Below are 13,261 nucleotides of genomic sequence, written 5' to 3' on the forward strand. Positions count from 1 at the left end.
GTAAAGGGACTACATATATGATTTATTGGCATCATTTTTTTTATTATTATTATACTTTAAGTTTTAGGGTACATGTGCACAATGTGCAGGTTAGTTACACGTATACATGTGCCATGCTGGTGTGCTGCACCCGTTAACTCGTCATTTAACATTAGGTATATCTCCTAATGCTATCCCTCCCCCTTCCCCCCACCCCACAACAATCTCCAGAGTGTGATGTTCCCCTTCCTGTGTCCATGTGTTGTTCTCATTGTTCAATTCCCACCTATGAGTGGGAATATGCGGTGTTTGGTTTTTTGTTCTTGCGATAGTTTACTGAGAATGGTGATTTCCAGTTTCATCCATGTCCCTACAAAGGACATGAACTCATCATTTTTTATGGCTGCATAGTATTCCATGGTGTATATGTGCCACATTTTCTTAATCCAGTCTATCATTGTTGGACATTTGGGTTGGTTCCAAGTCTTTGCTATTGTGAATAGTGCCGCAATAAACATACGTGTGCATGTGTCTTTATAGCAGCATGATTATAGTCCTTTGGGTATATACCCAGTAATGGGATGGCTAGGTCAAAAGGTATTTCTAGTTCTAGATCCCTGAGGAATTGCCATACTGACTTCCACAATGGTTGAACTAGTTTACAGTCCCACCAACAGTGTAAAAGTGTTCCTATTTCTCCACATCCTCTCCAGCACCTGTTGTTTCCTGACTTTTTAATGATTGCCATTCTAACTGGTGTGAGATGATATCTCATTGTGGTTTTGATTTGCATTTCTCTGATGGCCAGTGATGGTAAGCATTTTTTCATGTGTTTTTTGGCTGCAAAAATGTCTTCTTTTGAGAAGTGTCTGTTCATGTCCTTCGCCCAATTTTTGATGGGGTTGTTTGTTTTTTCCTTGTAAATTTGTTTGAGTTTATTGTAGATTCTGGATATTAGCCCTTTGTCAGATGAGTATGTTGTGAAAATTTTCTCCCATTTTGTAGGTTGCCTGTTCACTCTGATGGTAGTTTCTTTTGCTGTGCAGAAGCTCTTGAGTTTAATTTGATCCCATTTGTCAATTTTGGCTTTTGTTGCCATTGCTTTTGGTGTTTTAGACATGAAGTCCTTGCCCATGCCTATGTCCTGAATGGTAATGCCTAGGTTTTCTTCTAGGGTTTTTATGGTTTTAGGTCTAATATTTAAGTCTTTAATCCATCTTGAATTAATTTTTGTAAAAGGTGTAAGGAAGGGATCCAGTTTCAGCTTTCTACATATGGCTAGCCAGTTTTCCCAGCACCATTTATTAAATAGGGAATCCTTTCCCCATTGCTCGTTTTTCTCAGGTTTGTCAAAGATCAGATAGTTGTAGATATGCGGCGTTATTTCTGAGGGCTCTGTTCTGTTCCATTGATCTATATCTCTGTTTTGGTACCAGTACCATGCTGTTTTGGTTACTGTAGCCTTGTAGTATAGTTTGAAGTCAGGTAGTGTGATGCCTCCAGCTTTGTTCTTTTGCCTTAGGATTGACTTGGCGATGGGGGCACTTTTTTGGTTCCATATGAACTTTAAAGTAGTTTTTTCCAATTCTGTGAAGAAAGGCATTGGTAGCTTGATGGGGATGGCATTGAATCTATAAATTACCTTGAGCAGTATGGCCATTTTCAGGATATTGATTCTTCCTACCCATGAGCATGGAATGTTCTTCCATTTGTTTGTATCCTCTTTTATTTCATTGAGCAGTGGTTTGTAGTTCTCCTTGAAGAGGTCCTTCACATCCCTTGTAAGTTGGATTCCTAGGTATTTTATTCTCTTTGAAGCAGTTGTGAATGGGAGTTCACTCATGATTTGGCTCTCTGTTTGTCTGTTGGTGTATAAGAATGCTTGTGATTTTTGTACATTGATTTTGTATCCTGAGACTTTGCTGAAGTTGCTTATCAGCTTAAGGAGATTTTGGGCTGAGACAATGGGGTTTTCTAGATATACAATCATGTCATCTGCAAACAGGGACAATTTGACTTCCTCTTTTCCTAATTGAATACCCTTTATTTCCTTCTCCTGCCTAATTGCCCTGGCCAGAACTTCCAACACTATGTTGAATAGAAGTGGTGAGGGAGGGCATCCCTGTCTTGTGCCGGTTTTCAAAGGGAATGCTTCCAGTTTTTGCCCATTCAGTATGATATTGGCTGTGGGTTTGTCATAGATAGCTCTTATTATTTTGAGATACGTCCCATCAATATCTAATTTATTGAGAGTTTTTAGCATGAAGGATTGTTGAATTTTGTCAAAGGCCTTTTCTGCATCTATTGAGATAATCATGTGGTTTTTGTCTTTGGTTCTATTTATACACTGGATTACATTTATTGATTTGCATGTATCGAACCAGCCTTGCATCCCAGGGATGAAGCCCACTTGATCATGGTGGAAAAGCTTTTTGATGTGCTGCTGGATTCAGTTTGCCAGTATTTTATTGAGGATTTTTGCATGAATGTTCATCAAGTATATTGGTCTAAAATTCTCTTTTTTGGTTGTGTCTCTGCCCGGCTTTGGTATCAGAATGATGCTGGCCTCATAAAATGAGTTAGGGAGGATTCCCTCTTTTTCTATTGATTGGAATAGTTTCAGAAGGAATGGTACCAGTTCCTCCTTGTACCTCTGGTAGAATTCGGCTGTGAATCCATCTGGTCCTGGACTCTTTTTGGTTGGTAAGCTATTGATTATTGCCACAATTTCAGAGCCTGTTATTGGTCTATTCAGAGATTCAACTTCTTCCTGGTTTAGTCTTGGGAGGGTGTATGTGTCGAGGAATTTATCCATTTCTTCTAGATTTTCTAGTTTATTTGCATAGAGGTGTTTGTAGTATTCTCTGATGGTAGTTTGTATTTCTGTGGGATCGGTGGTGATATCCCCTTTATCATTTTTTATTGCATCTATTTGATTCATCTCTATTTTCTTCTTTATTAATCTTGCTAGCAGTCTATCAATTTTGTTGATCCTTTCAAAAAACCAGCTCCTGGATTCATTAATTTTTTGAAGGGTTTTTTTGTGTCTCTATTTCCTTCAGTTCTGCTCTCATTTTAATTATTTCTTGCCTTCTGCTAGCTTTTGAATGTGTTTGCTCTTGCTTTTCTAGTTCTTTTCATTGTGATGTTAGGGTGTCAATTTTGGATCTTTCCTGCTTTCTCTTGTGGGCATTTAGTGCTATAAATTTCCCTCTACACACTGCTTTGAATGTGTCCCAGAGATTCTGGTATGTTGTGTCTTTGTTCTCCTTGGTTTCAAAGAACATCTTTATTTCTGCCTTCATTTTGTTATGTACCCAGTAGTCATTCAGGAGCAGGTTGTTCAGTTTCCATGTAGTTGAGCGGTTTTGAGTGAGTTTCTTAATCCTGAGTTCTAGTTTGATTGCACTGTGGCCTGAGAGACAGTTTGTTATAATTGCTGTTCTTTTACATTTGCTGAGGAGAGCTTTACTTCCAACTATGTGGTCAATTTTGGAATAGGTGTGGTGTGGTGCTGAAAAATATGTATATTCTGTTGATTTTGGGTGGAGAGTTCTGTAGATGTCTATTAGGTCCGCTTGGTGTAGAGCTGAGTTCAATTCCTGGGACCCTTGTTTACTTTCTGTCTCGTTGATCTGTGTAATGTTGACAGTGGAGTGTTAAAGGGCTTTCTTGATATAGAAGAAGAGAAAGTAAGCCACTTGGAAAATATATTTGAGGATATGGTTTAGAAAAATATCCCCAGTCTTGGTAGAGAGGTTTACATGATATAAGAAATCCAGAGACCTCCTGCAAGATACTCTACAAGACAACCATGACAACCATTACCAAGGCACATAGTCGTCAGACTACCCAAGGCCAGTGCAAAAGAAAAAATCTTAAAGGCAGCTAGAGAAAAGGGCCATATTACCTATAAAGGGAAGCCCATCAAAGTAACAGCAGACTTCTCAGCAGAAACCTTACAATTCAGAAAAGATTAGGAAACCTTTTTTTTTTTTTTTTTTTTTTTGAGATGGAGTTTTGCTCTTGTTGCCCAGGCTGGAGTGCAATGGCACCATCTCGGCTCACCGCAACCTAAACTTCCTGGGTTCAAGCAATTCTCCTGCCTCAGCCTCCCGAGTAGCTGGGATTACAGGCATGTGCCACCATGTCTGACTAATTTTGTATTTTTAGTAGAGACAGGTTTTCTCTATGTTGGTCAGGGTGGTCTTTGAACTCCCAACCTTAGGTGATCCGCCTGCCTTCGTCTCCCAAAGCGCTGGGATTACAGGCGTGAGCCACCATGCCTGGCCTGGGGAACCATTTTTAGCATTCTAAAATAGAAGAAATGTCAGCCAAGAATTATATGTCTTCCCAAAGCAAGCTCCTTAAACAAAGGAGAAATAAAGTATTGCCCAGACAAGCAATTCCTAAGGAAATTTGTCACCACCAGAATGGCCCTACAAAAGATGATTAAGGGAGTTCTAAACATGGAAATGAAAGAATGATACTTTCTACTACAAAAGCACACATACGCACATAGCCCACAGACTCTATAAAGCAACTACACAACTGAGACAGCAAAGCAACTCGCTAATAACAGTATGACAGAAAAATAACCTCACATATCAACAGTAACCTTAAACAAATCCTTAACTCATTATATGAAACCGGTATCATTCTGATACCAAAATTTGGCAAATGCACAACAACAAAAAAGAAAACTATAGGTCTATATCCCTGATATAGTTGCAAAACTCCTCAACAAAATACCAGCAAAGTGAACCCAACAGCACAACAAAAGGTTAATTCAACACAATCAAGTGGGCATCATTCCTGGAATGCAACGATGGTTCAACATACGCAAATTAATAAACATGATTCACCACATAAATATAATTAAAAGCAAAGACTGTATGATCATTTTAATAGATACAGAAAAAGCATTTGATAAAATTCAGCATCTCTTCATGATAAAAACCTTCAAGAAACTAGACGTCAAAGGGACAAACCTCAAAATAATAAGAGTCAACTATGAGAAGTCCATCATCAACATCCTACTGAATGGGCAAAAGCTGGAAGCACTACTTTAAGAACTGAAACAAGGCAGCGATGTCCACTCTCACCACTTCTGTTTAACATAGTATTGAAAGCCCAAGCCAGAGCCATCAGGCAACAGAAAGAAATAAAAGTCATCCAAATACGAAAAGAGGAAGTCAAATTATTTCTCTTTCCTGCTCATATGATTCTATGCCTCTAGAATCCTAAATAATCCACCAAAAGACTCCTAGACCTGATAAACAATTTCAGCAAAGTCTCAGGATATGAAATAAACATGCAAAAGTCAGCAGCGTTCTATACAACAATAACATTCAAGCTGAGGATCAAATGAAGAGTGCAGTCCCATTTAAAATAGCCAGATAAAAAATAAAATACCTAGGAATACACCTAATCATGGAGGTAAAAGATCTCTATGAGGAGAATTACAAAAACTGTTAAAATAAATTATACATGACACAAACAAATAGAAAAGCATTCCATGCTCATGGATTGGAAGAATCAATATTGTCCAAAGCGATGTTCAAAGCAATCTACAAATTCACCTCTATTTCTGTCAAACTACCAACTTCATATTGCACATAATTAGAAAATACTAGTCTAAACTTCATATAGTATCAGAAAAAGATCCTGCATAGCCAAGGCAATGTAGAGCAAAAAGAACAGACCTAGAGAAATCACATTATTGCTTCACACTATATCTCAAGGCTACAGTAACCAAAACAGCATGGTACTGGCACAAAAATAGACACACAGACCAATGGAAGAGAATAGAGACCCTTGAAAGAAAGCCACACATCCACAACCAATCTTCAACAAAGTCGACAACAACAACAAAAAACCACAGGGAAAGAACACCCTATTCAATAAATGGTGCTGGGAAAATTGGCTAACCAATATGCGGAAGAATGAAACTGGACTGTTACCTCTCACCAATACAAAATTTAGCTCAAAATTAACTCAAAAATGTATTAAACACTCAAACATCGGGTGTCAAATTGTAATAATTATAAAAACTCAACATTAACTCAAAATGATTAAAAACTCAAATGTCAGATGCCAAATTATAAAATTTCTAGTAGAAATCCTGGGAAATTATTATAGGTATTGGTATAGGCAAAGAATTTAGGATGAAGACTCCAAAAGCAAATGCAACAAGTTTTTTAAATAGGCAAATGGGACTTAATTTAACCAAAGAGTTTCTGCACAGCCAAAGAAACTCTCCAAAAGAGCAAGCAGACAACCTACAGAATGAGAGAAAATATTCACAAACTATGCAGCCAACCAAAGACTAATATCCAGAATCTATAAGGAACTTAAGTGAATCAACAAGAAGAAAACAAACACCTCCATCAACAGGTGGGCAAAGGACATGAAGAGACATTTCTCAAAAGAAGACATAGAAGTGGCCAACAAACATATGAAAAAATGCTCAACATTACTCTCATCAGAGAAGTGCAAATTAAAACCACAATATGGTATCATCTTACACCAGTCAGAATGGTAACTGTGTTTATCAGAAACAGCCAAACTATTTTCCAGAATGGCTATACATTTTATGGTACATTTTACTGTACCATTTTACTAGCAATGTATTGTTACTAGCATCATATGAGAAATCCAGTAGTTCTACATTTTTTGTCAGCACTTGGCATTAGCAGTATGTTTTTGAAATAATTAGTCATTCTAATAAGTGTGTTTTGGTGTCTTATTATAACCTTAAGTCTCACTAAAGGCTAGTGATGTTCAACATCTTTTTGTGGCATGTCTGTCATTCCTATATCCTGTGTGGAAAAATGTTCAAACTTTTGCCCTTTTTGTAATCAAACTGTTTTTTTTCCCTTACTGTTGAGTTAAAAAAATTATTTATATATTCTGGATTCAAGTCTTTTGTCAAATATGTAATTTGAAAATAATTTATCTAAATGTATGCCTTGTCTTTTTGTCATTTTAACAGGGTGTTTGCAAAGCAAAGTATTTACATTTTGATGAAGTTTAACTTGGTGATATTTTTAATAGATCATGCTTTTGGTGACATGTATGATAACTCATTATCTAATTTTTAAAATAGATTAAAACTAGTGAGAAATACATTTTAAAACAAAAATTATAAATAATGAAAAGTTTTTTGAGAGAAGAATGAACATATATGAATGTATATTTGTATACTATATAAATACATATAATGATGATGTATACATATAAATATACATACCTGTGTATACATAGCCACAAAATAAATTTGCTAAATAAATCATAAGCAAAGGAAAATATTCAATACCCACTGAAATTTAGACAATTGCCAGACTATATGCCTAGCTTTATAATAATAAATTTAGAAGCTTGAGGGCAATGAATGCTGTTTGTCTGTTTGTTTTGAGATGGAGTCTTGCTCTGTTGTCCAGGCTGGAGGGCAGTGGTGCGATCACGGCTCACTGCAATCTCTGCCTCTCGGGTTCAAGTGATTCTCCTGCCTCAGCCTCCTGAGTAGCTGGGATTACAGGCACGCACCACCATGCCCAGCTAATTTTTGTATTTTTAGTAGAGATGGCATTTCATCATGTTGGTCAGGCTGGTCTCGAAATCCTGACCTCATGATCCGCCCGCCTTAGCCTCCCAAAGTGCTAGGATTACAGGCATGAGCCACCTCGCCCGGCCCAATAAATGGTTTTCTAAAAAAATTTAAACTATTAAATGTAAAATCTAAACAATACAATAATCATGTGGAAAATGTAGTAATTAAACATATTCCTGCTGAAATGGAAAACAATACATGGGTCATTATGAATATTTCAAAAAACTCATAAATTTCTGCATTTTGTATAATTTTAAAATAAAAAATGAGAACAAAATTGTCTAGTTAACTAAAAATAATGCAGTTATGATTGAAACCAAATCATGACAAAGTAGCAAAATGGAGACATAAATGACTAAACAATTTATACTTAACAAAATGTGAAATGAAGTCAGAAAATGTCAATTACAGTGATCGAATGAAGTTAATATTAAAAATGAAAAAAATCTAAATTTCCAGAAATCTACTAAGAGATTTACTAATTTGATTAATATATCAAATAAAAAAAATCTAGAAAGTTACAATTATCTCAAAATATTCCATAAAGGTATATAATACAATTCAAAAATACATCTATGGCATATAATAGTTTTAATAGTATTATGATAATATTTATTAAAATTATATATGAGGAATATATGCTATATATATGTATATATACCACACACTGGTAACTAGCATCATGATTAATATTAAAACATGAGGCAGTTTCTCATTTAAATGAGAAACAAAGAAAGGACATTTGCAATAATCACTATTATTTATAATTATTCTGAAAATATAAAAGATATAAATACTGGAAGTAGAAAGAAAGTAATTATTGTTATTTGCAAATTATGTGATTTTATATTCAAGAAGTTTTAAGAAAAGCAACAACAATTAGAATTAGTGAAAGAATTAAGTAATGGGGCCAATCACACAATATTCAAATATAGTTTTCTGATATAATAATAACTCTTCAGATATATAATACAGAAAATGATTACATTCACAATAACAAAACTAAATATTAATATTTCATGAATATAAAATATTAAAGAACATATATCAGAATAAATGGACACATATTGCATAAAAGATATACAACTCTATATAAAAACTTGGAAGAAGACAACTAATTGTAGAACAGTGTCTTATATGGCTAAATAACATACTATTGGAAAAAAGACAATTTTCCTCAAATTAACCAATACATTCAATTTACATGGAAAATCCCAATATGATTTCGTTTTTATTTCTTTTTAAGAACTGATAAAAATAATTTTACCTGAGAAGGTAAATAGGCAAAAGTGGCTAGAAAAAACCAACAATAAAGGAAGCATAATGAATTTGGTTTACCTAATATTAAAATATATTGAGTGAATCACAGAAAACGGTAGAACCTCCCTTCATAAAGAAGACAATAACAATTATAAATATATATTCACCTAACAATGGAGTCCCCCCAAAAATGAAGCAAACACTGACAGAATTGAAGGCAGAAATATTCAAACAACACCGTAAACCAACTACACCTAACAAACATGAAAAACACTCTCCCCAATAACTGCAGAACATACTTATTCTCAAGGGCACGTGTAATATTCTCTAGGATAGACACTATATTAGGACATAAAACAAGTCTTAATAAATTTAAAAATACTATAATCATAAAAAGTTTTATTCTCCAAGAACAATGGAATGAAGCTAAAAATCAGGAAGAGAAGGAAGCATAGATAATTTGCAAATATGTAGAAATTAAACAACATACTCTTAAACAATCAGTGGGTTGAAAAAGAAATTATTAGGAATATTAGAAAAATAGTTTGAGACAATGAAAACAAAAATACAACGAACCATTGGATGTAGTAAAAGCTGTGCTAAGAGAGAAATTTATAGCTGTAAACACTTACATTAAAAAATATAGTTCTCAGATAAACAACCTAACTTCAAACTTTAAGATATTAGAAAATGTAATCAAACCTAAAACTAGCAGAAGGAAAAAAATAACAAAGATTAGAGCAAAGATAAATAAGATAGAGAACAGGAAAACAATAGAGAAAATTAACAAAAATAAAAATTGTCTTTTTGAAACGTTAACAAAATTGTCAAACTTTTAGCTAGACTGACAAAGAAAAAAGAGAAAAGACTCAAATTAATAAACTCAGAAGTGGAAGTGGGGATATCACTACCAATATTTCAGAAATTAAAAGAATTATAAGAGAATACTATGAATAAGTGTACACCAACAGGTTAGGTAGTCTAGATAAATGGAACATAATTCTAGAAATGCATATACAAAAATCAATTCAAGATGGATTAAAGACTTAAACGTTAGACCTAAAACCATAAAAACCCTAGAAGAAAACCTAGGCATTACCATTCAGGACATGGGCACGGGCAAGGACTTCACGTCTAAAACATCAAAAGCAATGGCAACAAAAGCCAAAATTGACAAATGGGATCTAATTAAACTCAAGAGCTTCTGCACAGCAAAAGAAACTACCAGCAGAGTGAACAGGCAACCCACAAAATGGGAGAAAATTTTCGCAACCTACTCATCTGACAAAGGGCTAATATCCAGTATCTACAATGAACTCAAACAAATTTACAAGGAAAAAACAAACAACCCCATCAAAAAGTGGGCAAAGGACATGAACAGACACTTCTCAAAGAAGACATTTTTGCAGCCAAAAAACACATGAAAAAATGCTCACCATCACTGGCCATCAGAGAAATGCAAATCAAAACCACAATGAGATACCATCTCACACCAGTTAGAATGGCAATCATTAAAAAGTCAGGAAACAACAGGTGCTGGAGAGGATGTGGAGAAATAGGACCACTTTTACACTGTTGGTGGGACTGTAAACTAGTTCAACCATTGTGGAAGTCAGTGTGGCGATTCCTCAGGGATCTACAACTAGAAACACCATTTGACCCAGCCATCCCATTACTGGGTATATACCCAAAGGACTATAAATCATGCTGCTATAAAGACACATGCACACGTATGTTCATTGCAACACTATTCACAATAGCAAAGACTTGGAACCAACCCAAATGTCCAACAATGATAGACTGGATTAAGAAAATGTGGCACCTATACACCATGGAATACTATGCAGCCATAAAAAATGATGAGTTCATGTCCTTTGTAGGGACATGGATGAAATTGGAAATCATCATTCTCAGTAAACTATCGCAAGATCAAAAAACTAAACACCGCATATTCTCACCATGGGTGGCAATTGAACAATGAGAACACATGGACACAGGAAGGGGAACATCACACTCTGGGGACTGTTGTGGGGTGAGGGGAGGGGGTAGGGATAGCATTGGGAGATATACCTAATGCTAGATGAGGAGTTAGTGGGTGCAGTGCACCAGCATGTCACATGTATACATATGTAACTAACCTGCACATTGTGCACATGTACCCTAAAACTTAAAGTATAATAATAATAAAAAGAAATGCATAAACTACCAGCAAAAAATTTTAAAAACATATAAATTGAACTTCATAAAAATTAAAATTTTTATGCAGTAAAGGACATTATAAATATAGTGAAAAGCAAATCTACAGAACAGAAAAAATATTTCCATATTATATATCTGACTTAGTTTAGTATTCAGACAATATACATAACTGTTACAGCTCAATGACAAAAAAAACCTAAAACAATTAAAAAATGGGCAATGGACTTGAATAGACATTTCTCTAAAGAAAATATGCAAATTACCCACAGTGATCCTCAGGAAAAGATATTTAACCTAATTAGTCGTTAAGAAAATGAAAACGAAAATCATTTTCATTTCACACCCACTAGTAATCAATAATAATAATAATGGAAAATAGCAAGTGTTGGCAGGAATATGGATAAATGAAAACCATTGTACATTACTGGTAGGAATGTATAATGGTACAATTGTTGTAGAAAATGTGGTGATTTCTCAAAAAGTTAAGCATAGAACTGCCATATATTCCAGAAATTTCCTCCTAACTCTATACCCAAGAGAAATGAAACACATGCCCACATAGAAATTAGAACATTAATATGAATGAGTATAGCAGCATTATTCATAATAGCCAAATTTACAAACAACCCAAGTGTCCATTAATGCATGAATGGATTAACAAATTATGGTATATACACAAAATAAATATTATTCAGCCATAAAAATAAATTAAGTACTTGCACATGCTACAACTTGTCTAAACTTCAAAAACATTATGCCAAGTGAAAGTTTAAAGCCAGACACAAAATGTAACATATTGTCCAATTTCTTTTAAATGAAACCCTGGGATAAGCAACCCATAATTACAGAAAGCAGACAGAGGTTGCCAGGGCTGGGGAGAGGGACTGGATGGAGTCTGATTTCAAAATAAGATTATAAATTATTTGGTGTTGAGATCAGTGGCATGTTCCAATTTTGTATTTCTCCCCCAGTTATGAGTGCCATAACTGAATTAAGGGTAAGACCTCATAAACTTCCTGCACTGAATTGAACTAAGGCCAAATTGGGCCATAGGAACTTTGTACAAAGCTACCTTCAGACTTTAACTTATATCTTATATAAACTTTAATATACCTTTGGGGATTATATTACTTAATTACTATGTTAAGTTTAAATATACAGCTTAAAACTGCTGATTCCCTTCATTTCTAACTTAAGTCAGTAAAACAAGCATATAAGGAGTGCCTGCTTTGTAGTTGGCAAGGCACCTAGGGGCTGGGAAGATGAGGGAACAGAGGCTGAGACTGCAACCAAGCTTAATGCATGGGAAGCACTTTCATCTCTTTGCACTAAAGGCCCTGTTCTACCTGCTTCTCTCACTTTCTTACTAATTACTTCTGAAAGCACCATCTCGATAAATTATGTGTGCATGAATCCTCATTTCAGGCTCTGCTTCTAGTTATGCTGTTTCAAGTTCCTGTACACATATGTATCCCTAAACTTCTTTGCTTTCCTTTGTGTAACTAGGAGCTTTGCAGGGGCACTCACTGAACAGGTGCACTGTTCTCTGAGGAGCACAGCTGGGGATGTGTGAGGGATGAAGGGAGAGATTGCTTCCTGTAGCTGCTGTTGACACAGGAGGAGAGGTTATAGAGATATGGCAAATGAAGTCAAGGCTCAGAAAGCTTAATGGTCTTTTTCTGCATTGTAACTGTGGTAAATGGTGGGGATGAGATTAAAATGAATAGATGTCTAAATGCTCATTCCTAGCCTCATTCTACTGTACTATACTGCACCTCACTGCACGTTTCAATTACACCTAATTAGAACTGACCTAGGGAATAGTGTAGGCTTAAAACCAGCCCCCAGCAGGTGTTTCCTTTAGTACAGGGCTCTGACAAAACATGTGATGATTCTCTTTGCTCTGGTGCTCATAAATCCCCGATTTCTCTCTTGCCTCTCCTCCAAAATTCACACCCCAAGTCTTCACATCATCCATGTAAATAATTGAGCAATTTCAGATGAATTTCCTTTAAAATATTGAAATAAAATTTACACCCAGATTCCAAGTAAACAATATGCGCAGAGTTCAGTTCAGGAACCTCTTCTCCTTGTGTCAACAGCAACTACAGGAAGCAACTTTTGCCTTTATTCCTCACACATCCCCAGCTGTTCTCCACAGAGAACAATGCACCTGTTCAATGAGTGCCCTTGCAATGCTCCTAGTTACAC

Source organism: Homo sapiens, chromosome 20 (genome assembly GCF_000001405.40).
Source record: "Homo sapiens chromosome 20, GRCh38.p14 Primary Assembly".
Taxonomy (NCBI): domain Eukaryota; kingdom Metazoa; phylum Chordata; class Mammalia; order Primates; family Hominidae; genus Homo; species Homo sapiens.